Genomic DNA, 26,718 nt, shown 5'->3' on the forward strand with positions numbered 1-26,718 from the left:
TTCCCCACTTTGCAGCATTCCAGTGATAGTAGTCAAAAACATTCTTTAATTTTATAAATTGTAAATACTAGAACTTGCCATTCAATATGAAATAATTCAATAAAATGAGTTTTCCAGTATTCTTTGACTCTGTCCAGATCAGTCACTTTGTAAATGGATGATATAAGATTCTCTGTAACGTCTTCTTACTTCCATAGTTTAACAAATAAGCTAGAGTTTTATAATGAAAATACAATATAAAGAACAGAATAATTTGCACACCCGAAAAAAGAAGTGTAAAGAGCTGTCAAGTAATGTAAATCAAATGTAAGCAGAATTGAAAATCGGCACTAAAATGCTTAATGTCTGTGGTCTCCGGTACCAGAATGTTTCTTCTTTTTTTTTTTGAGACGGAGTCTCGCTCTGTCACCCAGGCCGGAGTGCAGTGGCGCAATCTCGAGTCACTGCAAGCTCCGCCTCCCGGGTTCACGCCATTCTCCTGCCTCAGCCTCCTGAGTAGCTGGGACTACAGGCGCCCGCCACAACGCCCGGCTAATTTTTTTGTGTGTTTTTAGTATAGATGGGGTTTCACCATGCTAGCCAGGATGGTCTCGGTCTCCTGACCTCGTGATCCACCCGCCTCGGCCTCCCAAAGTGCTGGGATTACAGGCGTGAGCCACCGCGCCCAGCCAGAATGTTTCTTTACGTTTTAGGTCTGCTGCTAGATGTGTTTAGCCTAACGAAAATGCTTATGAATGAACAAACCACTGAGTTAGGCCTCTGTTACAAGAAAATTAGTGTAATATTAAGTATATTCTAAACATCTCCTGAAATTACAAAGAAAGGGCCATTCTCAAATATTAAAAAACTATTATTCTAAATTAAATAGGATGATGCTACCTTGTTTGCCAAGTAATACTCATTAGAACACCGGGAACACTGCTCAACAGCTAAAAACTGTGTTAATCCTATGTCCTACACAACACCTAGAACACAAGTTGACAAGCAAGAAAAGTATGTATCAGCTAAAAATTTATTCTCAAGCTATGTTACACTTAAAAGTACAAATAACCTACTAAATAAAAATGTTTCTGTATCATATGTCATGTAGGTAAGCCACTGGTATTATGAATATTGTGTGCACTTTAACTTTGCAGCTCTAATCATATTTCATTTCTGCCTTCAGTGTTCAAACAATCTTTTTTTAAGACAGCACACAAAGTATTATCTAGCTAGCTAGCTATTACATTAAAATTATAAACAAATTGCAATTGATAGCACTTAACATATTTTTATATTATAATTTAATTTTTAAGCCAAGAAGAAAAATAATATTTGAGTAGTTCAAATATTCATTTCTAGCCACTATATTTCTTTATACTGGGGAATAAATTATTCCTGGACTGTAAGCTACTATATTTTACAGAGATTATATTTGCTTACTATGCATACTGTAAATAAGCTATAAGTGAACTGGACAATTAATTATATTTGTTCCTTGATGAGAATGATGATGATGATGTTTGACATACATTAAGCCAAGTCAAATCTCAATTCTTCAAGTTTATATGTTGGCAAACTATCTACCCTACTTCAGATAGAGCTGACTCATAGGTAAGAAATTTATGCAAAACTTTCAAAGGAATTAAAATCAGTGTTTACTTTACAATGATAATATTTCTGCCCAACCAGCTCTGATTTTTAGTTTAAGATAACATCATTTCCCGAACACTTTAACACATTACCTTCACACAGTGCTTTTCTCCCATGAATCTTGTTATTCATAAACATTAATTAATTCTCATTATCCTTATGACACCTACTTCCCAGTACAAACTTTTAGGCTAGGCTGGGTGGTGCATCGGACGCTGTGGATGCTATAATTACATAACAGTTCTCCTTTGACCAGTGCTCATCCACGTACGTCACGTACACACCAATGGATCCTTGTACTGCAGATCAGACAGCTTCGTCTGCAAATACTAAGATGAGCACTTTGGCATTCATTCCTTACCAGAACAGGACCACAGTGTCTTCCCTAAATATGTGGCCAGTCTCTTGCCCCTTAGCTAATCCTAGAGTGGCCAGGTATGAGAAAGTTTTTGCTGTTGAAAGTTTTCAACAGCAGGTGTTTGTTAACCTTTGAAACCAACAGAACAAAGCTAATAAATTCAAGGTTGTAAGAACAAATGTCTTCCATGTAATTTATGCCAAAGCACCCTACTTAATGTAAATACTTCATAGTACATAGCAACCTTCTGCTTCTCATAGGACTTACAATAAAGTGAATTAGGTGAGAAATAAGAATGCCTTTGAAACCACAGGTCCAGACTCACATCGAAAGGCTGAATAGGAGAAGCTTTGCCACCTTTATTTCAGGATATTTAAGTCTTTTCTCTGTTTCCTCAGACAAATTAAAACATGTACAGAACCAGTTTTCCCTCCACAGTGCAAGCAAGTTCCAATCTCTTTTCTTTTGTCAACTTTTTGATGTTACAGAGAAAATATTGCAACAAAAATATGAAATGAAATGTAATTTGCTTTATTGCAAATTAAATTTGTCTAGCTATGATTAGTGTAAGTGTGCATGTTTTACGTTGGTGTCATTGAAGAGCACATATTTTGTGTTTTACTCTTTTCATTTAATATGGTATGATAAACACAAGTCCAGATATTGATGTAATTTACACTATTGTCATTTTTAATAGTCTAGAATGATTGTTTCCAATCTTTTGCTATTATAACCAATGTTTATATCAATCTATTTAAAAAAACTACCATTTTCCTCTTCAGATTATTTCTGTGAGGTGTATTTTCCAAAATGTCAAAGAGCATAAGCAATTTTATAGCTCTTATTTCAGCTTACTTGTATTCTCCAAAAAACAAATTGAATCATTTACAGAAACATCAGCAATTGATGGATGTAATTACATGAGCTGCTTAGAATAACCTTTGAGTTGCAATGTAAACTTTAAGTTGGATGAATTTGCATTGTAACTGCTAGTGACATTATGCATTTTTCAAGTAAGAATTTAAAATTTGTGTTTTCTTTTGCATAACATAGTATTTCTCAAAACGTGGTCTGTGTAATACTTTCTCTCCCTCCCCCTCTCCCTCACCCCTACTCCATCTCTATCCCTTTCTCTATCTCTTAAAATCTCTCTGAATAAAATTATATTGCATTCATTTTATGTGGCAAGCACTTCAGTTAGAGACAGGATGTTCTAATAAAGAGAAGAGGGGCAAGGTCCCACCCCTCATGGAGCTTTCATTGCAGTGAGGAGATGCTACACATACATACACATACACGTACCCATACACAGAGAGAAAATTTCATAGAACGTTCCATGAAGAAAACAGTACAGAGGCATGCGGGTGAGCATGCTGGATGGAGGAGTCGTTTTAGAATAGCACATCAGAGAAGGCCTCACTGGGGAGGAGACATTTGAGCTGAAAACTGAATAACAAGAAGGCCAGCCTGTGAAGATCTTGCAGAAGAACCTTGCAGGCAGAGGGGACAGCAGACAGAAGAACATCCAAGGCAAGAATGAATGAATGTACATGGTGGTTAAAGAACAGAAAGAAGGCCAGTATGGCTGGAATGTAGTTAACAAGGAAAGAAGAAGTATCAAGTGCCATCGGAGAGAATAGGCCAGGGCCAACTGTGCATTGGCCTTGCACGGTTGGGAATGTGAGGGACAAAAAGGAGTACTGAGGTTAGGTAAGTTGAAGCATCACTGGGTTGGTGAAAGCCAGGCAGGTTTCTTACTATGGGATTTCTCGAAAACTTTAAAATATAATGCTCATTGTAAATTTTCAAGTCAGTAATACAGATCACAGCATTTTCCAAATACATTTCATCATGACATCCTTTTTTTCAGAAACGAGCTCTTGAGACTGTTGTTTCAAGGAAAATGCGTTGGGTTACACAGGTCAAAAACAAAAACAAGCAAGGGCTGGTAACCTATAGCTTTCAGGCCAAATCCAGCCTACCACCTGTGTTTTACCATCTGTGAACTAAGAATAGTTTTACATTTTTAAACAGTCTTTAAAAATCAAAAGAATATTTCACAGCAAGCAAAAATTATATGAAGTTCAAGTTTCCGTGTCCATAAAGTTTTACTGGGACGCAGCCACATGCATTTGTTTACTACTCTCTATGACCAGTTTTGTGCTAGGACTGGTAGAGTTGAGTAGTTGCCACAGAGGCCTATGATCCATAAGGCCTAAAATATGGACTATCTGGCCCCTTATGGAAAAAGTTTGCCAACATCTGGTCTAGAGCATCTGTTGTTACTTTAACTGTAAATCTTCATATGACCTGGGATTATAGCCATAATTTATACATTTTATAGTAAATATTTATCAAGTACTCATCATGTTTCATACTCTGGTTTTTGCTTTTTACATTTGTTTTTATTACATTTTGCTATAATTTTTTTTAAAATTCTACTTATCAAACCTAGTTTCTTTAAACTTCTGATAACACCCTCAATTTCATAAGTAGTCTGAATGTGTGTGTTTATTTGATAGATTTGGATACTAGGCAATTCAATTTTCCCATACTTAAAAATAGAGCTTCCTATACTTAAAAATATGATTAGCTCTTTAATATGTTTAGACATTTCTGAAGTTTAGTGTAACATACACATCTATATTAAATCACTTTTGCATGCTATCTATTTACCAAGTATCATTTCTTAGTAATTCTTATAAGCCTGTCTTGCTCCTAGTGTGTCAGATGTTAAATTCTAATCGTATTTTAAATATATTTCTGAACTATCTGCTTATCCACTGATCTATTTTTTTAATGATAACCTAATAACAAAGACTTTTAAAAATTGTCATTTTGTACACATCTGCCAAGACAAGGAGACTATTGTTACCTTAAAATTTGGGGACATATTCTTCCCCATTTGTTGGTCCATGTGACTATCTTTCAAGTTCCATTAAATATGTTTAAAGAAATTTTAGTTAGTGTTGCATTAAATTAACCTAGGAAGCATTTTCTTCTCATTATAATATAATTTTCCCACCAATGGCCAGATTTTTGTCTATGTACATATCCATATCTTTAAAACAAAACAAAACAAAACAAAAAACTTTCCCAGCATTATAACACAGAGATAGAATGAGTTCTTTTTTAAAAAATTTTGTGGGTACATAGTAGACATATATATTTATGGGGTACATGAGATGTCTTGACACAGGCATGCAATGCATAATAATCATGTCACAGAAAATGAGGTATCCATCCCCCTAGGCACTTATCCCTTATGTTACAAAAATCCAATTACACCCTTTTAGTTATTTTTAAATGTACAATTATTATTGCCTATAGTCGTCCCGTTGTGCTTTCAAATACTAGGTCTTATTCATTCTTTCTAATTAATTTGTTTGTACTTATTAACATCTCTCATTCTCCTCCATGGAATGAATTCTTTATAAATGCATGTTTATGTTAGTAAAAACTTCGCTATTTAAAATTCTGTTAGGGGAGATAAATTCTGTCAAAATTCTATATTTAATTATAGATATACAACCTAAATACATTTTCACTGTAAACTATTCTAGGGAAAACAGAAGACCCCTCCTGATTCTCCCCTACCCCATCACATACCGAACACAGAGCCCTGCTTCTCCTAGAGAAGCCTAGAAACTTTGTCAATGGGCTGAATAATGCAGAATAGACCACAGACCATTTTGTTTTGCTTGCTGTTCCCATCCGCCAACATTTTCCTAAATTTACTTTTCTTCGGGTCACTATGACTTGTTATATAACATTAGTGATCTTAGGGAGATATAGCTAGAATTATATTCTCCCACAAATGCTCAAAATGTAAGGTTATCTTCCAGCAGCTAAACTTTTGTATTTTTACAATTGCCCCTTCTTATCAATAGGGCTTATTAAACGTCCAGTTTCTTCCCTCAGATCCCTGTGACTAATCTCCCAATTTGGAAAGAATAGACACTTAAAAGTAACTACCAGTTGATTCCATGCTAATTAGGACCCCGGATTGTTCAATCTTCTAGAATGCTGAAAAGTCCCCTTTATTTACAGTGTTGGGTCTCTAAGGTGGAGCATATTTGGTTAAAATAAATTATGAGCTAGTTCTTGAGAATTGCTAAGTGACAAGCAAATAAACAATAACCTACACACAGTGTAGGCCCTCAGAGACTGTGATTTAAGTGCATAGATGAGTTTGGGTGGAATAAGCAGGACAGCCAAGTGGGAAACATAATACCAAGGTAAATGTGTATAATTCCCATGCAAAGTGTCACGAATCTATTAAAAAGCACCTCCCTGATTTATTAAAAATAAAAAGTGATGCCTGTAAAGGGGAAGAGGGATGTTGGTGGAGTCTGCTGTTTGCTTTTCTGGAGTCTTCACCTGCAAGTCTACACTAACTTGCCAAAACAAACAATGTTAGCAAAACTGTCCTCTCAGCAGCTATATACTAAATCCTACAACTCTTCTATCCGGAAAACCTGGTCAATTTCAAGATAGATAATGAGCAAAATAGTCTGACGTTTTGGGGTTTAGGGGAGGGGAAAGGTTGATCAAACCCACTTACCACATTGCTGAGTTTTGAAAGACGTGGGAAAAGTGACTTTCCTTGTTAACAATCCCCCACCCCCTCCCTCGAGCTAAATGGAATGCTTTGCTATGCAAATAACAAGTCTGATCTCAGAGGAAGTAAAAGACTCAGGATAGTAAAAGGAACTCACCTTTTGGAGGTAAATTAACTCTTCTAAGGCACCATTGAACAAATTACTTCTCCATGCTCTAAAAATTCTCTTAGTGCCCTAAAACCTCAAAATCGCCTGAGATTAATTTGCTCCTTCGAGGGTCAGGCCTCATAAAGAGTGAGTCCCACTGGAAAAACATCTTTTGTCTGCCCTTGTTAAGGTACACAAAAGAAGCATGTGGAAATCACTCAGCAACTCGACATTTGTGGCTGACCCCAACCAACTGGAATCTGAAGGTTGAAAGTGTCAAGGTCAGTCTGAACCTAGTAACCTAGCTGTTTGAATAGGTTTCAATTTGGTAATTACTGTATTTAGATAATTCTGCCTCCCTTTCCCACTACCCTTCATTACCAAGAAAACCAGTGCAAAAAATCAAAGCATGAAAATGAGAGACGCACATTGAGTCAAATAGGAAATTGCTCAACTCAGTGGCTTCTGAGTGCATGAGACAGAGACCTTTTAAGCATGTCCTTCCTTCCCCAGGTTGCAACTGACTTTCTCCAGGGAAGGAATATATTCCCAAGTTGATCAAATCGTGTGGATGCAAGTCTTCCAATGTGCTCAGTCAACAAAAATGTCTGAGCCTGGGATGTCAGGTAACCCACTTTTCAGAATACTTAAATCACACAAAGGAGCATTCTGTTTAGTACTGGGACCACAATGCTTAAGCTGAGCCTTAAGAAGTCAGTAAGAATCTTAATAAGATTTGGACATGATGCCCACAGCCCTGATACTATGTCCAGGCAGCTTAAAATTGCTTGAGGTTAAACATTTAAGTTTTATACCCAGCCAACTTTCTCACAAAGGAGTGGAGGTGATCCACACTGACATATGTATAAACCATACATTTAGGATTTAACATATGTTAAGGTTATAATATTAATCCGAAATTAAGAAAAACAGAACACAAACGCTATAGGAAAACATAAACATATGAACAAAGACTAGAAGAAAACAAAAACCTAAGTAGTTGTTTTAGGAGGATGGGATTGTAAGTAAACTCGCTTTCTCAAAAAGGAATCTGAATGTCATTTTACTACATTTTAGAAACAATAGAAGGAAAAAGTTGTGTATATCCAGCTGGAAGGAAACATTGCAATTGGACATTAAATGCTTGGGTCTGAGCTTTCTGGAGCTAAGTTAACACTTTGGGTTATGTAGCTTTTACTGACCAATCAAAGAAGGTGTATAAGTCAGTTCTCAAAAGATAGACATTTTTCTACATTTGAATTATAAATGAATTCAGGGAACATTGGGTGTAGCCTTAACCATACCACCCCTCATCTCTTTCTCTCTTGTAAGGTCCATATCTTTGGCCTCTTTGCCTAGGTCCTACCTCAGAAACAAACTGCTTTGAAAACCAAATGACAAGGATTAAAAGATTAAATCAGCATGAAGCTTGAGTTGAACACAGTTGTACATTTTCTTAACCCAATCATGGACAACTATATGCAGGATGGAATCACTTGCTGGTACCTTAGGGAGAGAGAAATAATTACAGGACTAAACTATTGAGTCTAGCCAATTAAAATCTCAATCAGTGTGCTTTAGACTGTTTAGAGAATTATCTGCTGATGAGGGCTTCAGTTAATAAAACTGGAAAAAACATATTGCTAAAGTAACAGTAATGAAATTTTGCAAAACTAGAATCTACTTGCACCAGGCTACCAGGTTCCAGGATTTGGGGTAGGGAACTTTGTAGTCATTTAAAAATATTTTTGCTAGAAATCAAGCTATAAAAAGTTAAAAGATCAATGAGATCTTTTCTTTAGAAAATGTGGCAAAACTGACTGAAAGCTGGACTTCAGAAATTCTCATTAGTAACACAACGCAGCAAATTATTCTTCCATCTTGTCTTCTTTTCCTCAAATTTCACATTTTTGAGGTAAACATTTTGGAATCCGACAGTATTTTCTGAATTGTTTGTTCTGAACAGCATACTATAACTTTTATATTTTCACTTAGTTTATAAAGAATATTTTGAAGAGCGAGCGAAAGCAGAAACAACTGGAACTTGCTGCAGTTAATGCTTTAAATAAAGTGACTTATGAATGGTAATTTCAAATGGCTTCCAAGCTGAAAAAAAATTTTAGATTTTTTTCTAGAATTGACTCAAAGTTGCACACCTTGAACTTTTGACTCCTTTTTCAAAATAATTTCTGTGTGTTTTTTTTTTAACATTAGAGCAATTTGACATTTTTCCTAAAATCAGCCACTTTTCTCCACTGGTGAGCATTGCAGTTCTGTTTATTTATTCTGCCATTAGGTGCTAAATGCATAGGGAAATGAGATCCTTGCAATCCCACCTAGACCACATTTCTAACCACTCTGAATTTAATTTCCAGTTATAGTTTTCAGAATTGTGCTAGTTTGTATCACAAGGTAAGCCTGAATAACTTTGCATCAATTCTAATTTGGCAGTCCACCAGTTATCCTAAATTCCCCTAGGGAATACTAATAACCTTCTGATTCCCAGGTAATGTAAGGTCACCAACGTTGCATTTGCATTATTCTTTTCCTTTTCAAAAGAGAGTATGTGAATAGTTTGTAAAATTGGTTTTGTGTTGAAGCAAAAGTATCTTTGATGACAAATAGTTCGGAGACCTGGGCCTGGGATAAGCTTTATGCTCCTGGCTCACCTTTGGAGAGGGAGTGGGGGCGGGCACGGTGAGTCCCCGGTCCAGAGGCCCTGCGGAGGTCAGCTGAGGTGCTGTCATTATGTATCATGGCTTGGCATCTCATTTCTGAAAGCAATCGTCCAGCTCCACTCTTGCACACCCGTGGCCTCTCCCGTTCACCTCCGTCCCCCGACTGTTGGGGAGCGGGGCCCTGGCTGCAGTTCAGCTGGGACCCAGGGCTCTCCGTGTCCCCAAGGGGCCCAAGACAGCGGCTCAGCCTTCAGGGCCAGTCTGCAGGTCCGACCCTCACCCAGCGGGCCTGTTTCCCACTCGCCCACGTCCCCGCTCCCATTGAGTCACCCCCATATGCAGGCCCACTGTGAGCTCGGAGGCAGGAGAGCCTCGCTCCCTAATTCCCGCTCTCTGCCCCCTACAGAAAACCCCTAAAGGTCTCGACCCCTCTTAAGCCCCTCCACCCCGGGGAGCCTTCCCCTGCAGACTCCACGCTTCTGCGCGGCCTTTTGACCCCATTTCGCATGAAATCTGCAGAGCGACCGCCCCAAGGACCAGCGAGCGCTAATCAGATCCGTCTGTGTCTGCAGAGCTTCACCTGAGGCCTGGGTCCCCGAGGGCGGATGAGCGGGCCGGCTCTCGGGCCCGGGCTGGGGGACCCGCAGTCCGCGGTCGGCGGGGATGGGGAGGGGTGGCCGCCTGCCGCGCGGCTCCCGCGGGCCGTCGCCAGGTGCACGGTCCCCCTGGTCCCCCGCAGGGAGGACGCCCCCTGGTGCCCCCGCCGCCGCCGGGCCTGGGAGCTCCAGAGCGGGCGGGAGGCGGGGTCGGCGGGGCTGGATCTTGACGCCAGTCCAAGGCCGGGTGACTACTGGGGTCTGCCCGCGCCGCGGACGCGCCGAGCCCTCTCAGTGTGGCGCTGCCCGGCGGCGAGGGGGGTGTGGAACGAAGCACGGTCAAGACAGAAAACAAAGTCAGCAGGTCACCTGGCAGGTTCTGGGCGAATTATGCAACGAAAGCAGGGGAATGTTTGATGCGTCCCACTCCACACCCCCCCAACCTTTTTTTTTTTTTTTTAAGCTCCTAGGAAGCCGGTTCCAGTTTAAGGGTTGGGTAGGGATCGACCAAGCAGCTCCTCTGATGTGGTTACGACTTTGCCGAACTCCTCAAGGGCGAGCTTCCCTCCCCATCTTTCTTTCAGTAATAGGAACATTACTCTGGAGAAAAAAAAAAAAAAAAAACATGAATGGGGTGAAATGGTAGGCTTGATCCAAAAGCAACGCCGAGAATCACCCTACGACTTCCGTCAGGTACTGAACTGAATATTAGGCAAAAATAGTAAATGCCGAAACCTAAATCACACACATCCAATTTTTTTTATTTTTTTTTTAATCTCCCCGGGTCTCAGGACTAAGCTTTCAAACAGAATTTAAAGAGTTAACGCTGGCCATAGCTCTTTGTTTTCCATGCTAACATTTGTGGCATTAGGACTATTTTGTTAACTAGGTATATGCAATTCACAGAATTTCACGGTAAATTCCCCAGACCAAATATTTGGCTGAACAAATAAACAACATTATCCATTCCTGAAAATAAGCCAGTAGGAGCGGGGAGGATGGAGGAAGGGGCTGGTTGCTAGAACTGGACAGCCACAGGGCTCAGTACTGGCCCTAGGATAATTTGTTCAAGTACTGGAGATCTACTGGTTCCTTTTCAATGACATCGACGTTTCAGAAAGTTGCTAGAAATTGGGCAAAACAAAATGAGGCTGCCTGAGGGCAATCTATAAGGGGCTTCCCTAAATGATTTATTTGAGCTCCATACCATTAATCAAAGGGGCAGCGACCTGGGGGGTTGGAGGGGTGGGGGAAGGATCCCTTTTTGCGGGGAGTTTTGGAGGAACTGTGTAGTCTTGCTGCCTTTGCCTGGGGCTCTGATGTCTTCTCTCCACCTGCGCTCTCCGGGGAGCTGGGGTTTTGGCAACCACCCCGCTTCAATTTTTATTGGTTTCCACTAAGCTGCTCCTTTTGGAGGAGTGTAGGACTTCAGTAATTAAAAACAAAAATGAATCCTGCTTCACCCACTCCACTCCCAGGAGCGTATGTAAGAAAGTGTGTACAAGAATGCAAGGGTGCACACCCCACCTAGAAAAATGCAAACGCCAGGAGTGTGCACCACACACATTCTTTGGGTGCACACACCACCAGCAACAGCAATACTACCGCTCATATCTACACCTTCATGATGGAGAAATGCGCTATCAGCCTTCCCCACAGAGAACATACAAAGACACTAAATGTTTCTGCTCCAAAGGGATCCAAAGGGATCTTGGTCTGTGCTGGCTCACTTCATATGTGTGAATTTTCTCAGCACACATATGAAATGAGCCAGCACAGACCAAGATTCAAGGCTTAATTTAGTTGTTGGTGGCAAGTAAGAAAAAGCAAAGGCCTCTCCTCTGCTCCTCTTAATCCCTACACCCGTCATTCCAGAAAGGCATTTATCTGCCTGCTGGGAGCCCTTAACTGAGGGTACATTAGCATCCTCCTTTTTATTAACTTTGTCCAAAAATTGAGCTTTTCCCTTTAAGAAACCCTAGCACAGAACATCAGATCTACCTCTTTCTGCCCAAGTCCAGGGAAGAGGGTGTGAGGGAGGCAGTACAGAGCGAAAAGGAGAGTTGACATTTGACTCGAGATTTCTGTATAATAGTGGGACACCTTCACAGTGCCTGCTTAGAAATTCTGACCCTTTAGTATCTGACCCCATTGTCAACCCCCACCCAGCCCAATCTGTTGGGATCCTAAACTTGATGAAGGCCTTCACATTGGGAAAAGAGGACAAGGGAAAAAGTCAAGAAACAATGGGAAATTCTATCAAGTGGCATATTAAAACAGTAGTCATCAAACTTTTTGAAGGTAGGGTACATTATTTGTTACAAAAAAAAAAAAAAAAGACAAAATAGCAGTGCATGCCTGTAATCCCAAAGAGGCCGAAATGAGAAGATTGCTTGAGCCCAGGAGTTCAAGACCAGCCTGGGGCAACAAAGAGAGAACTTGTTTCAAAAAAAAAAAAAGACAAAAGAAAAAACAAAAGAGTCCTACCTGGAGAAAAAAAAAATAAGTTTAAAAACATGCCTTCACACACACATTATGATGTTAGTGTACAAATTAGTTTTGATTTGGAAATATCACATTGGTACCTGTAATAACTGGAGATACCCTGAGGTATCATGAAAGCAGAGGTGGGTATCATTTTTCTAGGGTTGAGACCTCATCACGCTCAGCTGTGATACACCTCAACAGGTGAGTGAAACAGAAGATGTACAAGGGGCCTGAAATGAAGTCTTTAATCTGACCTACACTCCTTTCATCCCAGTGTTTCTCCAAGGCATGTGTCATCCAGATGGGAGAGGATACTGCATCCTTGTTAACATTAAATAGAAATAGAAAACAATTCATGCTGGCAATTACCATCTCTCTCTGCCAACAGTTTACTTCCTGTCCCTACAACTTAACCACCTCCAGGTACCACCTTTTGACTTCCATCCAGCCTCCAACTCACCTGAACAGAAAAAAGCCTCATTCAAAAGAGATGAGCCCGAAGGAAAAGAGAAAGGATTAAGGAGAAAAAAAAAATCATGATTTACCTTTAAAATAATGACTCATTTTATTTTTTTCTTTTAATACGTAGTTATAAATATATTTTGTCAAAATATATGATCAATATGGTCAAAACATTTGCACGTAAAGTCATAAATAAGGTCAAGGTGAATGTTTAGGGATTTTTTCCTTTTTTTTTTTTTTTTTTAAATAAAAGTCCAGCTATAAGGAAGCAGTCTGTGTAGTGTGTGGGTGAGTGGATGGGAACGTGTGTGTGTGGTGTATGTGGTGTGTGTGTGTGGTGTGTATATCTGTCTATCCTCAAGGACTGCCTGATCTCAGCGGCACCCACATCCCTCTACTACCATCTCCTGATAATTTTTCAGTACCACCTTATCATACTCATCCAGGTACAGCATGGAGATGGCACTCAGTTCAGTGGGCACACAACAGGCTTTGGGGATACTGGAATTGACAGAATTGACCAGGGTCTGCACAATGGCATGGTTGGTTGAGTTGAGGTGGTCAGCCAGTGGAAAGGGGCAGTCCCCATGGCAGTAGAAGGCCTGGTAGCCTGGTGGGGCCACAATCCAGTCATTCCAGCCCACATCGCTGAAGTCCACATAGAGCGAGTGGCGCCGGCAGTTCTTATTCTTCTTCCTGGCCCGCTGTGAGTGATGCTTAGGGCTACGCTTGGCCCTCCGGCGTCGGGTCAAGGCATGGCCCCGGCCATCATGGCCAAAGGTGACCAGGAGGGGCCGGAGCTGGGCCCAATTCCCACTCCCTTGAGGTAACGATCGGCTAATCCTGACATGCTGGCCCTGGTGGGTCCGAGTCTGATGGAGGTGAGTCACCTCAATGGCTAGCCCATAGTTTGGCTGCTTCTCCCGGGTCCAGCGAAGGACCGCAGGGCTCACATCAAAAGTTTCCCACCGTGTCACATTGTGGTGGACCAGTCTCGTGTCCAGTAGTCGTGTGATGAGGTGCCCAGGCACCACTTCTGCTGGGGGCTTCATAACCTCATAAATGTTTATACGGTGGAAGCCCCTTTCCCAATCAGGGCCCTGGTCCACCTGCTCCCGGAAGAGCCGAAGCTCTGCAGAGGAGATCACCTCGTTCTCAGGGATGCTGCTGAGGTTAAAGAGGAAACGAAAAGCAGAGTTTTCACTGGTCCCTGGGATGTTCTCCAGATGTTCTAGGCACAGTTAGGAAGGAAGGGGAAAAGAAAAAGCATATGAACTTTTTTCAAAGATGGAAGAGTCAAGAGATAGCTCAGGGTTGGGCAATGAATGGTGAATTCTGCTTATGCAGGGGAAACCTACTGGGGGAAAATAAGCATACCCCTTAATTTGAAGGAGCAGATAAGTGGGGCAGCTAACAAACCAGCAAAATGTAGCTAGCATTTCTCAAGCACCAAAGACAGAAACTATATCCAGCCTCCTTGATATGTCTAATAATTTCTATGTGTCAACTCCTCTATGGCACCACAATCAGACTCCTCTTTTAAACCCCCCACCTTGGCTTTGTGTCCACAGTTTTCTTTACAAGTGGTTGTAAAGAAAAAGAGGGGCCAACAGAGCACAGGCAGGAGGAAACATGCAGACAACCACCCTCTCCCTCTTCCACTATTGAGTATGTTACTAAACATTTCCCCAGCGATCTTGGAAACACAGAGCATGCCTTGTTGATCATGTTACAGAGGGGAAAATAAATTCCAACACAGTAATGATGCTGGTGGATTAATAACTCAGATTTACTTTGGAAAAGAAACATCCGCTAGGAAACATTCAGATCGGATTACAAGGCCCCTATTGAATAAACCCGACAAACACACAGCTGTAATATTAAATTCAGTAGGTGCTTTGAAAAAAACGGGCAGAAAACCTAGCAGAAAAGGCTTTGATATAGCAAAAACACACCGCTGGGGCTAGCCCACGTCTGAGTGCTGTCATTCCCCTTCCCCTGAACACCTCCCCCTCTGTCTCCAAAAAATAAGTTCGGCGGCAGCTCTGCAAATTCTTGGAGGTAAGCAGCTCTGTTCCTCAGCCTCCTGGACTGGGGCTTTGATGTAACCCGAACTCTTCTTCCCCAGGGCTTTCACTGCCCCTCTAGCCAGTCCCACCAGCCCTCCCCCACGCAGACTGGGGGAAGAGACTGACCTTCGTGGTGGAAGCTCCTCACGGTGTTGGCCCGGCTGGCCGGGCGCTCAGGATACTCAAGACCAGTGCTGTGGATCTGCTCTTCCTCCTCCTCCCCAGACTGAAGCCGGTAAAGATCCCGCATGTAGTCCGGAATGACGGCACTCTTGCTAGGCTGCGGGCGGCGGCGCAGCCCAAACATCTGCAGAAGTGTCGCCTCGAAGTCCCGCAGGAGCTCATGGCTCTGCCCTGAGCGGCGTCCTCCCGCGTGGCCCTGAATCTCGGCGACTTTTTTCTTCCCCGTCTCAGGTATCAAACTAGCATGGCTCGCGCCTCCTAGCAGGACTTGGCATAATAAAACGACCATCAGCATTCGGTTACCAGGAATCATGGTGTCTCTGGGGAGGGGGAGGGGAGTGGAAGGTTAAAGAATAAATAAACACCAATAAATAGGGAGAAATAGAGATGTGTCTGCATATGCATTTAGGGCTAGAAATGGAGGGGCAAGATGGAAAGCAGGTCAGAAAGATCAAGTTTGTGTCTTCTCCCTCACACCACCCGCCCACCCACCAGCTGCAGCCATGCACGGCCTGAAAGTAAGAATTGCCCTGTAATTACTTGGTCTAACTTGTTTACAGTCAAATAACCCCAAATCAGATAGCCTCCATCCTGTTAATCTTTTTTTGTCCTAACTGCTATCTGGGCCATGATCTCAGCGTGGCTTCTTGAAGGATAAACAGTTAACATTGAGGGGGTGAAAAGGGGTGGGGGAGGGAGAATTAAAATGGCATTGCTCTCCACTTTAGACCTTCAGCTTCTCTCCCTTTTCCTCCACCCTCAGAGCCCAACTTTCACAACTTCCAGTTGGTTCAGAGCCAGAGGGAGGGAAAGTGAGAGGCAGGGGCTGGGCGAAGACAGAGGGCGACAGGGTCCAGAAGCCGAGAAGGTGGTCTGGGAGCTAACCGGGTGGCTTGAGGGCTTATTTTATTGTGGCCGATGAGTTTGAAATATTCAGCCAAAAGTGCCTGATCGTGCCCGCTCATCCCCAGGGAAGGGGTGAGAGACGATTCCGGAGAGACCTCTGTGAGTTTTGACAAGAGAGTGGGAACGCGCCACGGAGACACTGGGGGCTCTCCCAGACAAGTTGGATAGGGGAAGGGAGTGGTTAGCCCTCAAGGTACAACCCCGGGCTTTCATCTCTTTAGCTCCCTCGCGCTCCCCTTTCTTGCAACGCTGAGAGGGCGAGTGCGCGCTAGCAGCACTTTAAAAGGAACCCGTACGCTTCCAGCGCCCCGGCTGCCGGGCCAAGAAGGGAGCGACAGTGCTGCCAGGGAGCAGAGTGTGGATATTGTAAAGGAGGTCCGACGGAAGGGACAGCCGGCGAGCAGGGGTGGTGAGGGCAGAGTGAATTCCGGGGAGGGGGAAGGAAGAGGTGTCTACTCACTGACAGAAAACAAGGCATATAATAACAGTCCATGATTCTTGACAGCCAATCTTGAACAAACTTGCTGGAAAGGCTCAGGGAAGCTGCAGCAGTGCGTTGCTCGGGATGGCACTACGGAATGGCTCCTAAAAGGAATATTTGAATATAATGAGACTCCACCGCAGACAGGCTCTGTTTTTCTTCCAGCCCCTCGGAGTCACGTGAGCGCCGAGGCCCCTCCCGCGGCAGGCGGCGAAAGGGCTTGCGCGCCCTCCCCTCCTCCACAGCCCCCCGCCCCTCGCGGGCCCGCCCCTCCAGGCGAGGCCAACCTCCGCGCCCGCCGCCCGAGCCTCAGCGGTCCGGGAGGAGCTCCCGGCGGCGCTCGGCAGAGCCCTCGGCCGGTGCCCCGCGGCCGCCGCGCTCCCAGGGCTACTGGCGCAGCGCACGGAGAACCCGGTTCTCGGCGCGGTGCGTCGTGCTGGGCCCCCGCGCCGGGCCACCTGAAGCCAGAGGATTTGGGGCGCACTGAAGGGACTGCGTCTCCCAGCTCGAACCCGGCTTAAGTGGGGCCGGGAGCGAGGTCGGGAAAGTCTCACCCGCCCAAAGCCTCACCACCGAGAGGCACTTAAAAAGGAAAGCGCAGAGGGACCCTGCCCACGCGCGTGTACACACACACCCCCCCACACACACACAAGCAAACACGAGCTCCCCGCCACTTCCTCCCCAGGGTCTCCTCAAGGCCAAATATTGCTCCCAATGACAGCCAGTCACCCCTTGGCGAACGCCTGCTAAGGCTCCGAAGAGCCGGGCCACCGATCTAGCTCCCGGCTGAAAGCAGCCGACCTTGTCACGCGCGGGGCCGGGAATGGGAGGGAGGGTGTTAGAGGGTGATCGCTGTGGGAAAGTGAGAGGGAGCGGCTGTTAGTCATTGCTCCGGGTCCATTACCGAGAATCCCCAAACCTAGTCCGCCGCTGCGTGGCCCCTCTCCCCATGCAAAGCAGACCCCCGAAGAAGCCATGCCAGGCTGAGGGACAGACGCCGGGGCTCGAAGCTCCGGGCAGATTCAGAAAGAGGCGTCGCTGCAGAAAGGACGCATCACAGTTTTCAGATCTTAATGTGGCCGAGGTTTTACAACTCCCGACCCGGCGCAGAAAGGAAATCCCACCATGTTCCCCGGAGTCGAGAAAACGGTGAACAGCTTTCGGCCTGCGCTCGACCTCTGCGTCTGCGTCTCTCTCGCCTCGGCTTCCCTTATTTTTTAAACCACCACCACACTCCTTCCCCCGCCACTTCCTTCCCCCACCCCCTTCCTCCGTTGCACCAGCAGCAGAGTCGCACGCAGCAAATACTCCTTCAAGAATTTTACCTACCTACAGTTCAAGCAGTTACTGGGATGTCCTGACTAATCGAAGATGCTGCCGCGCGCGTGGGTCGCTCTGCGCAAGGGCCTCTTCGAAAACCCGACTAGGCGCAACTCAGCGTTCAGCAGGGCCGGGAGCGCCAGGTCGTCCCCGGGGCCCGGGCCCCATGACTCCTGCCCCAAAGCCCACTCCACCCGACCTCCCTTTCCTGAGGCTGTTCCCAGTTGCTGCTTTGGGTCGCTCCGGAGCTCAAGAACTCGGGTTGCCTGCCGCCCCACTCTCCACGCACATACTTGGTTTTCTTCTTAGGGGCATTGGCAGGTAGACTTTGAGGAAGAAAAGTAAAGGATCGAACAGCTCAGCCCTCCCTCCCGACCGTGGATGCCCGGAGTCGACCAACACCTCAGGTCCGGGTGCGGAGGCCGCGGGCGCCCCTGCGCGACCGTCCGCGCCCGGCAAGAGCCGCGCGGCTTTCGCCTTTGCTGGTCCCGCGCCACCGCTGGGGCGGGCTGCGAAAGGGTTGGGAAGAGCAAAGGGTTTTTTTGTTTTGTTTTGAGACGCAGAAGCCCTTTAAAAAGCCCGGCGAGGAGAGGTCCAGAAGTAGAGAAAGCAGACGGAGGCAAGCTGTGCCCGCGGGGCAAAGGGACAGTAGAAGGGGCGGGCGCCCGGGTTCCCCGGAAAACCCTCGGCCCCAAGGAATCTCCTGGGGCGGGAGAGCGCGGTTCTAAAACCGAGAGGATAGGAAGGGGAAGGGGGAGTTGTGTTTCAATTTCGGATTCACCAGGATTCATCTCTAGTCACATTTTTCTTCTCAAATTTTTAAATCGAAAAGATAAAAGCCAAAAGAACTTTCATCCCCAGAGCTTTTTATTGGGGGAAAGGAATGTAACTCGGGGTGGTTGTCCTTCACTTCCCTACTCGAATCTTCTCCTAATGCCGAAATGTGTTTACAGGTAGCCTCAGTTTACCAAGTATGTATCTTTTGGGGGTTTAACCTCTCACAAAGCCTTCAACTCACAAACCGCGATCCTTGGAAACCATCCTCCAAAGCAGTGCTTGGAGGCCTCTAAGGCCCCCGGACCAACTCCCGCTGGAAGAAGCCTGCAGGGACTCGGGAATCACGGGAACCTTTCCCGTCGGTTCCGGGCCTGGAGGGCCAGGAAGAGCCGCGCGTCCGCCTTTCGTCCCGCCAGGAACTCCCCATAGGACACGACACCGCAGGAACAAGCGTCCTGGGAGCCCCTGGGATCTTGGCTGTCGTCTCTAGGGACCCTACACCGTGAAATGATAGAGGCGAGGTTCCTTGGGTTCCGCAAGTCGACGAAAATAGCTCGTGGAGAAGGCGCGTCCTGCAACTGCAGTTCGCAAGCTCTCAGGGCGCCCCGCCAGCTGGGGGCCAGATTGGGTGACACTCCCCTCGACGCAGCCTCCGGAGCGGCGCGCACTCTCCAGAGGCCAGCAGGACTGCGCTCTCTACCGCAGAACCTGCTCCAGCTAGGTGTTCTCTCCCCATCTCGCCGTCGCTCTGCCCCCTCACTCTCTCTGGACCTCAGAGCCGGTTCTCTCCTTCCTCCTCCCGCGCTTTCCGTCCGGGGATCGCAACCTCCAGCCCGTGGGCAACGCGTTCAGCCCAAGACCCCACAGTTTTTCCCAACGACCCCCCTACCAAGGGCTTCTCTTGTTTCTGCTCTCCTGCCCCGCACTTCCCAAAGGTGAGAATCTCCCAGGGACTGCTGGACAGAGAAGGCCTGGGCAGGGGCAGTAGCCGATATTTAAAGGTCTTTCAGCGCCAGCATCCCCACCTCCAGCACCACTATTGGAAAATAATTAGGCCACCTTTTGCCTCGGTCACAGCCTGTGACCAGCTTCTTCCCCCCAAGGAGGCTCCTAGACCCCCTCTGCCTGTCTCCCCTCACCAGGTAGCCTTGCTCACCATAGGTCCCTGCAGTAGCGGGCTCGCCAGCAGCAGCTCCTGGGGACCTCTGAACGGTTGCAGTGAACCTGGGCGAGGGCCGGGGACTGTGGCGCTGCAGGCTCGAGATAGCTTGGACGGGAATCCCATCGGGGAGACAAGCTAGATACTCAGCCGGAGCAGCAGCGGCGTCTCAGGCTCGCGTCCCTCAGCTCGGATGCCACACTCACCTAGCTTCCGGGCCGGGCTCCGCGCTCCTTCCCTCCCTCCCTCCTCCTCTGCCTTCTCGCATCTTCCTTCCTCCTCTTTCCCTCCCTCGCTTTCTTTCTTTCCTTCCTCCTCCTCTTCCCCGGCGGCCCCTCCCTCCTTCCCTCCTCCCTCGCTCGCCTCCCTTTCTGGGGATGGGAGCCCCGCCCACATCCTCCCCTCCAGCCGCCCGACCTCGCCTAGCAGGCCCGGGTCCCGGAAGCCCAGGCAGCGCCCGAGTCCGCAGCTGCCGTCGGAGCTGGGACGCCGCTGCCTCCAGCTCTGGGAAGCGGCTGGGGCTCACCTGGGGACCACGTGCGGAGGTACTAGAAAGCATGCACCGACTAGTCGCCGTACCTTCCAAAAATACCCATGGGAGTCTGGGCTTCCCTGAGTTTAGTGTAACTGCTGCCCAAACTGATGATTAAAACACTGAGTAATCACCATTTACCCTGAGTAATTAGAGATAATGAAACACCTCTAAAATCAGGTTATGGAGAAAGGAGCTGTTGGATCGGTTTAAAAGGTGGCCTTCCATAAACTGTTAAAAGATTTCCAAACGTTGAGAAACAGGCTGTGTGCAGAACTGTGTGCCAGAGAGAGATACCTCTTGGGCTGTTAAAAGGTGAATTTCCTTCCAAAACATTCTTAAAGTGCGTTTTGTAGAACACCTTGGTGATGACCCTGAGGTAGACCCCAGTAAATGAGCTCACTTCCCTCCTCCCCCCAAGGCCTAAAGACAGAGGTGGCCTGCAGACAGGCTGGGGCCACGTTTTTTACAGTTAGAAAAATCTGTTTCTAGCTCAGAAGCCGTCTTAAGAACCGACACAGCAGTTATTTTTGTTGGTGTTATGGTTGTTGTTGATTTTTTTGTTCATTTTTGGTGTACCTAAGAGTCCTGACACTCTGTCTTTCCAAGGAGATAACCACAGAAGCAGTAACCTTTTAGGCCACAGGGAGACAAGAAAAGATGCCCCTTGGTCTGTTTTTAAAGGAAGAGGGGAGATGAGGAATTGGCCCTTTCATATAAAAACATTTTAGTAATCATATTAGCAGGGAGGTGGAATGTGGTGGCTTTTAAACCTTCCCAAACAGGAACTAATTTCACACACTGCCTCTGATGGAGCTGTGAGGGAGCTATCAGCCTCATCTCTCTGTTTTACAAACAAGGAAAGGCAGGACTACCAGGTTAAAGGGACTTGCCCAGATCTCTGAAGTAAATCACAGCCTCTGCTCCAGAGCTAATGCTTCAGGGAGGGGTTGAGGCTCATAGCCTGAGCTCCAGGTAGCCAGAGGAGTGCTGGAAGACTGAGCATTTCCTGTCCTGGATTTCTTTCCCTGGGACAGACATGACACTTTACTGTCTCTGCAAAGCATTTAGGTCTTTACTTAAACAGATATTGGCCCTGGGTGGCTCATCTATAAAAACTTTACGTTTATACACCTTCGATATTTAAAAAACAAGAACTACTTCCTGTGTGGAACACAGATTACAAAGGGTGGGAAATATCTGAGATCAGAGAAGCAACTGTCAGAGCAAGGCCAAGACATCCTGCCATCTTTTCCATCTATTAGGCCTAGGTCTTTTGGCCTAATGCACCAAACAACAGAAACAAGCTGTATGGCTTTGGGCAAGTCTTTTCATTCCTATGAGTCTCAGTTTTCTCATCTGCAGAATGAAAGGATTGGGCCAGATCATCTGCATGCTCCCTTTATATTTGAAAATGATTTGATTATTTAATTGTAATTTTAGCCAAAGTCCGTCTTCCTTCATTTTAAGTCACTCCTGAGTTCACTTTCTCTAAGAACCACTGATTAAAACAGGGCAGGGCAATAACACCACCCCAAAAGGAGGACAAAATATACCTGTAGCTTCCAAATAGTCAAAATCACAATTAATTATTAAAAATAATAACAGAAAATTAAAACTCCATTAAATAGTTACCTAATGTTTCTCCTGCAGCATCAGGCATTGTGCTCCTTTAGCATGGTACCTGAAGTCAGGACAGATTAAATGCTCACTGAGCCCCTAAATCAATCACTGTTGTTTTAATCATTAACGAAATGTGGTTCTTAATATTTAAACTCAGAAACAACAGTGATATGCTGGACTTAAAGGCAGGACTTTATTTTACTTTAAAGCACCAATGTCATTTCGGGGTTTTTTTAATTCCAAAGGTTTTTGAATGACAGCTATTGTCTCATTTTGCTGCAGCCCAGACACTAAAGTGGCCACTGATTGGCCCATCCATGAGTCTGTGACACTCACAGTCCAGGAGTTTCCAATTAAGCTACCCGACATACCATGTTTAGACCCCTGATATGAATCTTCAGATATATGACGAGAGAACTCAGCTTTAGTTCTCTTGGGACAGCTTTATTTCTCTCCCCACATTTTAGATGGGCGCAAGCCATCTGTTATCAGCTGCTTTTACCCACTCCTCCTTTTCCCCCCTTACTCATGCCAAAGAACAAATTACTTGTTGGTTAGAGAGCTAAATCAACCACAGCCTAGTGATCAGAGTTCGTGAGAAGAATCAGTTTAGTTATTTTCTGTATCTCAAACTTACCTGTGAATTTTCATGTTTTTATAGAACATGGTAGATAGACCAAATGAAACTGTACCCTTAAAGCACATTGATGAAGAGGGGAAACCCACCATAATTCAGGAGCAACTATTGCTCCTATGCTGCTACTACTCAATGAAAGGCATTCCTTTGTTGGGTTTTTCCTGGAGAACATCAAGAAAGAGTAGCTGGTCAATAGCCTGTCTGCGAGCCCTTGGGACAGCCTTTTTCAAAGCATGTTCTCAGGACTATAAGCCTCAGAGTAGGGTGGGGGTGCAGATGAAATGCAGACTTCCTGGTCCTGCCCCAGATCTGGACCCAGAAATCTGTATATTTCACAAGGTTCTCTGGTCATTCTGAGCACACTAAAGCTTGAGAGCTACTGTTTTAAAAGTTATTTTGTTTCCATTTTCTATGCTGATAAGTACCATTAAAAGGCTGATACCAAGACATCATTAAACAGGCAAAGAATATGCTGGGCTTGAACTTTATAAACTGTTAAATATGGCAATTATAGTATCACTATGCCCTGAACACACCAAATAGGTCTATGCAAGTGAAAAGATAATCCTATAGATACAGTAGCCCTTAATTCCCCATCCCCAATTAAGAACCACATCAGGTCTTCAAACCTTCTTGGCCAATTAGGTGTCTGGTGAAGCTACGGAAGGAATTCCCAGAATCACTGCTAAGTTTTGAGAAGCAGTAAGATAGATCAATTGGAATTGGAATTCGAATTCGAATTGGAATTGGAAGTGGTCTCTGAAATTGGCTAGAAATTTAGTTTTCCTCTTATTAATATTTATCATATCTTATATATTTGCCCTATATATCTCTAGCCCTTACAACAACCCTTATAAAATCCCTGTCCTACAGATGAGAATCTGAAGTTTAGAGACGTTATGTAAGTTGCTCAAGGTCACAAAGCTAGAAAGTGGTGGACCCCAAGTCCAAACCATGTCAGTCTGTCTCCTCTCCCTGGGCAAGTGAGGGGTATTGTGGATGGATCCCCGAGGCTTATCCTGGAAGCTTTCCCCAGGCCAAGGCACCAGCTGCTGCTCCATCCTGGCAGCATGCTATTACCAGGAATTTCAGGATATCTTCCCAAGTTCTTAGATAACAAAACAAAATCAAGACCTAGAAGTTTGTTTCTTCCTGACGTTACTATATAAGCCCGCCTTAGGGCAAGACTTTTATGTGACCTTTCCTGAGAAAAAGGTTATGATCTTGAGAAAGGAGCTCATTATCTCTGCTGGGTCCAAGTTTCCTCATTGTAAAATGTGGAGCTTGAACAGGGTCCTCACAGGTCTTTCTCAGGCTCTGGAATACAGAGACAATATATCCTGGTAGTTAAAATCACAGTCAAATTGCTTAATCTCCAATGTCCACTCATTATGCTTTGTCTATATAGATCTGACCCATGAACATAGCTGTGCCAAGATAACTACTCACTGTCAAAATCATACCTACTCTGAGCAATTAGTTTTTACTAATAGGCTGAGACTGAATGACATGTCCAAAAAGCATTCTCCGTCTGTTTTGCGGATTCCTAACACCTCTAACTTTTAAGAATTTTTTTTCCTGTCCCTCAAGCTAAAACATAAACTCATTTTCTTTATTCTGATCTAAAGATGAACTTTTAACCCAATTGCACAAGTTGTTCCTTCTCTAAACATTTAATATTGTTGCCAACCTTTGATATGCCTCACTCAAAGTAAATAATACTGGATGCTGATATTTTCTCATGACAAAAAGAAAATCCAATGCTATTTCAGTTCCCTATGTTTTAAATTGCTGCCTTGATACTTTCTGGAATATGGTCCTTTCTATAAAAACCCTTCAATATTAACATCCAAGCCAGGTGCGGTGGCTCACACCTGTAATCCCAGCACTTTGGGAGGCCAAGGCAGGTGGATACCGAGGTCAGGAGATCGAGACCATCCTGGCTAACATGGTGAAAACCCATCTTAACTAAAAATATAAAAAATTAGCCAGGCATGGTGGCGGGCGCCTGTAGTCCCAGCTACTCGGAAGGCTGAGGCAGGAGAATGGCGTGAACCCAGGAGGCGGAGCTTGCAGTGAGCTGAGATCACGCCACTGCACTCCAGCCTGGGCGACAGAGTGAGACTCTGTCTCAAAAACAACAACAAAAACAACAACAAACAAACAAAAATCCAAAATGGACAGAGACTTCTAAATGAACCCCCAGTGATATCAGACAGATGAAAAGACTGTTTTTATGTCATAACATGTTTAACGTGGATGGCAGACAGGGCATGGATATGAAAAGTCTTTTCTAAGGAATGATCAGGATGGGATTGGCATGCAATGACAGATATTTGGGTTTTGACTATTCTCAGCTTCCTCTCCTAAAAAAATAGTCGACTGCACTCATTTAATTCTACAACAGGGATGCTCTTTGAAAATAAATTATTTTAGAGGATATAAAAAAGATTAAACCTTGAAATTTCTTTGTTTTGTGCTCATACATCCTTCTCCTTCTCTTTTTCTGACCCCAGTGTGTGGGAACAGTGTAACCTGAACAAGAACGTAGTGTCTATAGGATGAGTGACACTTGGAAGCAGAGGCAGAGTGCTACATGGACACCTGACTGTACCAAATGGTTATTGTGTTTTCTCAATCAGACGCCAATTGCGGAATACCAGCTGATATTCTACCCTCAACTCATGCTAAAAGCTTTCTAGTCTTTCTCAAGGAAACCTGTCCAAAGGGATATGTGATCCCAGGAATTATTATTGTATAAGTAATACTTGGATGTTTTTACTAATAGTTCACACATTTCACAGCCCTTTGGTGGAGAGCCTTTTTCGTTAATGTTCTGTTCAAGAATAATTGCATAGTATTTATAATCCTCTCAGGGATTAAGTATAGATGTAATACACAACTCAAAGATGCTTGTTGATGTTCACTTTGTAAAAATTCATCAAGTTGTATACTTGATATTTGTGCACTTTCTGTGTTACATATTTTTTAATTAAATACTTATAGAAACTATGCTTTTGAAATGATTTTTTTAAAGTTATTTTCTTTGACCATTAGTTGAAGCCTACTAGCAACACACAATGTTTGGAGCCAAATGGTTAGGCAGGGCAAAACCAGGGGGAGCCTAATCTTTGGTCCTCTGGTGGCCACAGCACCTGAGAAACTGAACTGTGGCTTCAGGAAATCCACTCTGGGGCCACAGAAGAAAGAACAGTTGTACCAACCAAGGCCTGGCCTCTGGGGACCAGTACAGCCCATAGCAGAAGGCAAGATGTCTGACACAATCCTGGCACGTTCCTTAAACTCATGGGAGGGCTGGTAACCACTGGACCAGAACAGAAGCTCCTGGAGGCATCTGAGACTTGTGCTCAGCTCTTTCCTTCCTTGGCTTCTCTTGCTAAGAAGCTCAGACTGGCACTGCAAACCATCAATCTCTGGGGCGAAATGGCAAGGTCATCAGATATGCATTTCTTAGGATAGAAATGCAGGAAGGTAAAACTTCATCCAAAACAGATAACAGTTTAAGAGAAAGATATGGGCTCCACCCCCAAATTCTGGGAGCCCTGGGCTTAGGAGATGGGCTGGGGAAAGGATTGTGATAGAGAAAATGGGACTCCCAAGTGACTGTCTTGGTCCCTCACCACAGCTGAATCCCAGCCTTGATGCAGAGAGATGGAGCTAAGTGCATGTGGCCGGACTTTGGCCCTTTTCAGAATCTTGCAACCACAGGGCCAGGCTCAGAGATTGTGCAAACTCAGTTTCAAGGAGTCAGAGAAATCAAGACAGGTGTTGAGAGCCTGGGCTGCAAGTAAAGTATGAGGTGAAGGGTTGAAGGAGGGAGTCCTGCTCTTGAGGAGCAGCCCAGATGGACACTCCGCTCACCTCCTCCAGGCAGAAGAAGAACAAGGTGTGCACGCGGGGAAGTTCGGAGTCCCTCCTTGTCTTTCTAGACTGCAGCTGCGACAACATGCTGGGGACACGAGGCTCACCAGCCCCAGTACCTCCCCACCCCTCCTCGAGCCAGCTAAGCAGGACAACTTTCCAGCTCCTTATCCGCATTCCCTCCCTGATCAGGGGCAGACTGTACTTCCCCGATGTCCGCTAACTAA

General features: G+C 45.1%; 2 protein-coding genes and 1 non-coding gene across 11 annotated transcripts, besides 29 other annotated features; 1 reads left to right on the forward strand and 2 right to left on the reverse strand.

Moving 5' to 3' along the window:
* Positions 6,363 to 6,990: an enhancer, noted in NCBI's record as "OCT4-NANOG-H3K27ac hESC enhancer chr14:54409816-54410443 (GRCh37/hg19 assembly coordinates)". NCBI's record gives its function as "activates a minimal SCP1, AML or CMV promoter by ChIP-STARR-seq in primed H9 embryonic stem cells {active_cell/tissue: H9 hESC(primed)}" and the evidence as "EXISTENCE:reporter gene assay evidence [ECO:0000049][PMID:30033119]".
* Positions 6,991 to 7,617: an enhancer, noted in NCBI's record as "NANOG-H3K27ac hESC enhancer chr14:54410444-54411070 (GRCh37/hg19 assembly coordinates)". NCBI's record gives its function as "activates a minimal SCP1, AML or CMV promoter by ChIP-STARR-seq in primed H9 embryonic stem cells {active_cell/tissue: H9 hESC(primed)}" and the evidence as "EXISTENCE:reporter gene assay evidence [ECO:0000049][PMID:30033119]".
* Positions 6,991 to 8,740: a biological region, named in NCBI's record as "enhancer downstream of BMP4".
* Positions 7,296 to 8,740: an enhancer, noted in NCBI's record as "rs4444235 enhancer". NCBI's record gives the evidence for it as "EXISTENCE:reporter gene assay evidence [ECO:0000049][PMID:22158048]".
* Positions 9,081 to 9,613: an enhancer, noted in NCBI's record as "H3K27ac-H3K4me1 hESC enhancer chr14:54412534-54413066 (GRCh37/hg19 assembly coordinates)". NCBI's record gives its function as "activates a minimal SCP1, AML or CMV promoter by ChIP-STARR-seq in naive H9 embryonic stem cells {active_cell/tissue: H9 hESC(naive)}" and the evidence as "EXISTENCE:reporter gene assay evidence [ECO:0000049][PMID:30033119]".
* Positions 9,614 to 10,144: an enhancer, noted in NCBI's record as "H3K27ac-H3K4me1 hESC enhancer chr14:54413067-54413597 (GRCh37/hg19 assembly coordinates)". NCBI's record gives its function as "activates a minimal SCP1, AML or CMV promoter by ChIP-STARR-seq in naive and primed H9 embryonic stem cells {active_cell/tissue: H9 hESC(naive and primed)}" and the evidence as "EXISTENCE:reporter gene assay evidence [ECO:0000049][PMID:30033119]".
* Positions 9,614 to 10,164: a biological region, named in NCBI's record as "H3K27ac-H3K4me1 hESC enhancer GRCh37_chr14:54413067-54413597".
* Positions 10,115 to 10,164: a silencer, noted in NCBI's record as "silent region_5756". NCBI's record gives its function as "represses an Ori minimal core promoter by ATAC-STARR-seq in GM12878 lymphoblastoid cells {active_cell/tissue: GM12878}" and the evidence as "EXISTENCE:reporter gene assay evidence [ECO:0000049][PMID:35858748]".
* Positions 11,692 to 11,749, reverse strand: MIR5580 (microRNA 5580). Its single transcript, NR_049843.1, has one exon. It is a non-coding gene; the product is annotated as a microRNA 5580 (primary transcript).
* Positions 13,001 to 20,156, reverse strand: BMP4 (bone morphogenetic protein 4). 9 transcript variants are annotated; one of them, NM_001347912.1, is made up of 4 exons: positions 20,024 to 20,156; positions 16,541 to 16,665; positions 15,118 to 15,441; positions 13,001 to 14,153 (listed from the first exon to the last, which is right to left on the reverse strand). In NM_001347912.1, the coding sequence occupies exons 1-4, from the start codon at positions 20,083 to 20,085 to the stop codon at positions 13,297 to 13,299; spliced, it is 1,368 nt and encodes a 455-aa protein (NP_001334841.1). In that variant the 5' UTR covers positions 20,086 to 20,156; the 3' UTR covers positions 13,001 to 13,296. The 9 variants fall into 9 exon arrangements, with proteins under 9 accessions (NP_001334841.1, NP_570911.2, NP_001334842.1 ...); NM_130850.5 differs by having other exon boundaries at positions 15,118 to 15,494; NM_001347913.2 differs by having other exon boundaries at positions 19,815 to 20,090.
* Positions 16,660 to 16,693: a protein binding site, noted in NCBI's record as "Shox2 site". NCBI's record gives the evidence for it as "EXISTENCE:protein binding evidence [ECO:0000024][PMID:20858598]".
* Positions 16,660 to 22,034: a biological region, named in NCBI's record as "BMP4 promoter region". NCBI's record gives its function as "regulatory_interactions: BMP4".
* Positions 16,805 to 16,874: a silencer, noted in NCBI's record as "silent region_5757". NCBI's record gives its function as "represses an Ori minimal core promoter by ATAC-STARR-seq in GM12878 lymphoblastoid cells {active_cell/tissue: GM12878}" and the evidence as "EXISTENCE:reporter gene assay evidence [ECO:0000049][PMID:35858748]".
* Positions 16,925 to 17,014: a silencer, noted in NCBI's record as "silent region_5758". NCBI's record gives its function as "represses an Ori minimal core promoter by ATAC-STARR-seq in GM12878 lymphoblastoid cells {active_cell/tissue: GM12878}" and the evidence as "EXISTENCE:reporter gene assay evidence [ECO:0000049][PMID:35858748]".
* Positions 17,021 to 17,521: a promoter, noted in NCBI's record as "bp5 construct; +2581 to +3080". NCBI's record gives the evidence for it as "EXISTENCE:reporter gene assay evidence [ECO:0000049][PMID:24477565]".
* LOC124903317 (uncharacterized) lies at positions 17,447 to 25,621 on the forward strand. The gene is made up of 2 exons (XM_047432035.1): positions 17,447 to 19,593; positions 25,126 to 25,621. Exons 1-2 carry the CDS (start codon positions 19,166 to 19,168, stop codon positions 25,172 to 25,174), a joined length of 477 nt encoding a protein of 158 aa, XP_047287991.1. The 5' UTR covers positions 17,447 to 19,165; the 3' UTR covers positions 25,175 to 25,621.
* Positions 17,693 to 18,013: a promoter, noted in NCBI's record as "pSLA4.2NN for P2 promoter". NCBI's record gives the evidence for it as "EXISTENCE:reporter gene assay evidence [ECO:0000049][PMID:10457277]".
* Positions 17,693 to 18,988: a promoter, noted in NCBI's record as "pSLA4.2PN for P2 promoter". NCBI's record gives the evidence for it as "EXISTENCE:reporter gene assay evidence [ECO:0000049][PMID:10457277]".
* Positions 18,117 to 18,150: a protein binding site, noted in NCBI's record as "Bmp4.2-2 site". NCBI's record gives its function as "positive regulation of promoter activity" and the evidence as "EXISTENCE:protein binding evidence [ECO:0000024][PMID:14960358]".
* Positions 18,159 to 18,192: a protein binding site, noted in NCBI's record as "Bmp4.2-1 site". NCBI's record gives its function as "positive regulation of promoter activity" and the evidence as "EXISTENCE:protein binding evidence [ECO:0000024][PMID:14960358]".
* Positions 19,214 to 19,323: a silencer, noted in NCBI's record as "silent region_5759". NCBI's record gives its function as "represses an Ori minimal core promoter by ATAC-STARR-seq in GM12878 lymphoblastoid cells {active_cell/tissue: GM12878}" and the evidence as "EXISTENCE:reporter gene assay evidence [ECO:0000049][PMID:35858748]".
* Positions 19,916 to 21,258: a promoter, noted in NCBI's record as "pSLA4.1EX for P1 promoter". NCBI's record gives the evidence for it as "EXISTENCE:reporter gene assay evidence [ECO:0000049][PMID:10457277]".
* Positions 19,916 to 22,034: a promoter, noted in NCBI's record as "-1917 promoter fragment". NCBI's record gives the evidence for it as "EXISTENCE:reporter gene assay evidence [ECO:0000049][PMID:9701626]".
* Positions 19,973 to 20,052: a silencer, noted in NCBI's record as "silent region_5760". NCBI's record gives its function as "represses an Ori minimal core promoter by ATAC-STARR-seq in GM12878 lymphoblastoid cells {active_cell/tissue: GM12878}" and the evidence as "EXISTENCE:reporter gene assay evidence [ECO:0000049][PMID:35858748]".
* Positions 20,139 to 20,173: a protein binding site, noted in NCBI's record as "oligo B". NCBI's record gives the evidence for it as "EXISTENCE:protein binding evidence [ECO:0000024][PMID:17350185]".
* Positions 20,144 to 20,165: a protein binding site, noted in NCBI's record as "oligo B". NCBI's record gives the evidence for it as "EXISTENCE:protein binding evidence [ECO:0000024][PMID:17350185, PMID:21411747]".
* Positions 20,196 to 20,217: a protein binding site, noted in NCBI's record as "oligo A". NCBI's record gives the evidence for it as "EXISTENCE:protein binding evidence [ECO:0000024][PMID:21411747]".
* Positions 20,638 to 20,661: a protein binding site, noted in NCBI's record as "Bmp4.1-4 site". NCBI's record gives its function as "positive regulation of promoter activity" and the evidence as "EXISTENCE:protein binding evidence [ECO:0000024][PMID:14960358]".
* Positions 20,656 to 20,693: a protein binding site, noted in NCBI's record as "NF-kB-Oligo 3". NCBI's record gives the evidence for it as "EXISTENCE:protein binding evidence [ECO:0000024][PMID:17350185]".
* Positions 20,958 to 20,982: a protein binding site, noted in NCBI's record as "CBE (-865)". NCBI's record gives the evidence for it as "EXISTENCE:protein binding evidence [ECO:0000024][PMID:11054542]".
* Positions 20,990 to 21,027: a protein binding site, noted in NCBI's record as "Bmp4.1-2 site". NCBI's record gives the evidence for it as "EXISTENCE:protein binding evidence [ECO:0000024][PMID:14960358]".
* Positions 21,168 to 21,191: a protein binding site, noted in NCBI's record as "GATA1 site". NCBI's record gives the evidence for it as "EXISTENCE:protein binding evidence [ECO:0000024][PMID:10457277]".
* Positions 25,622 to 26,718: the final 1,097 nt, after the last annotated feature.

The sequence above is a fragment of the Homo sapiens genome, chromosome 14 (genome assembly GCF_000001405.40).
Source record: "Homo sapiens chromosome 14, GRCh38.p14 Primary Assembly".
NCBI classification, from domain to species: Eukaryota; Metazoa; Chordata; class Mammalia; order Primates; family Hominidae; genus Homo; species Homo sapiens.

What these genes read in the sequence shown, in the direction of transcription:
- LOC124903317 (XM_047432035.1), top strand. Translation starts at nt 19,166, where the DNA reads ATGATAGAGGCGAGGTTCCTTGGGTTCCGCAAGTCGACGAAAATAGCT. An exon ending in CTGCCCCGCACTTCCCAAAG is followed by an intron (nt 19,594 to 25,125) that starts GTGAGAATCTCC and finishes TTCTGACCCCAG; the next exon opens with TGTGTGGGAACAGTGTAACC.
- BMP4 (NM_001347912.1), bottom strand. Translation starts at nt 20,085, where the DNA reads ATGCGAGAAGGCAGAGGAGGAGGGAGGGAGGGAAGGAGCGCGGAGCCC. An exon ending in GAGCCCGGCCCGGAAGCTAG is followed by an intron (nt 16,666 to 20,023) that starts GTGAGTGTGGCA and finishes TATTCCTTTTAG; the next exon opens with GAGCCATTCCGTAGTGCCAT. An exon ending in GAGGAGCTTCCACCACGAAG is followed by an intron (nt 14,154 to 15,117) that starts GTCAGTCTCTTC and finishes AACTGTGCCTAG; the next exon opens with AACATCTGGAGAACATCCCA.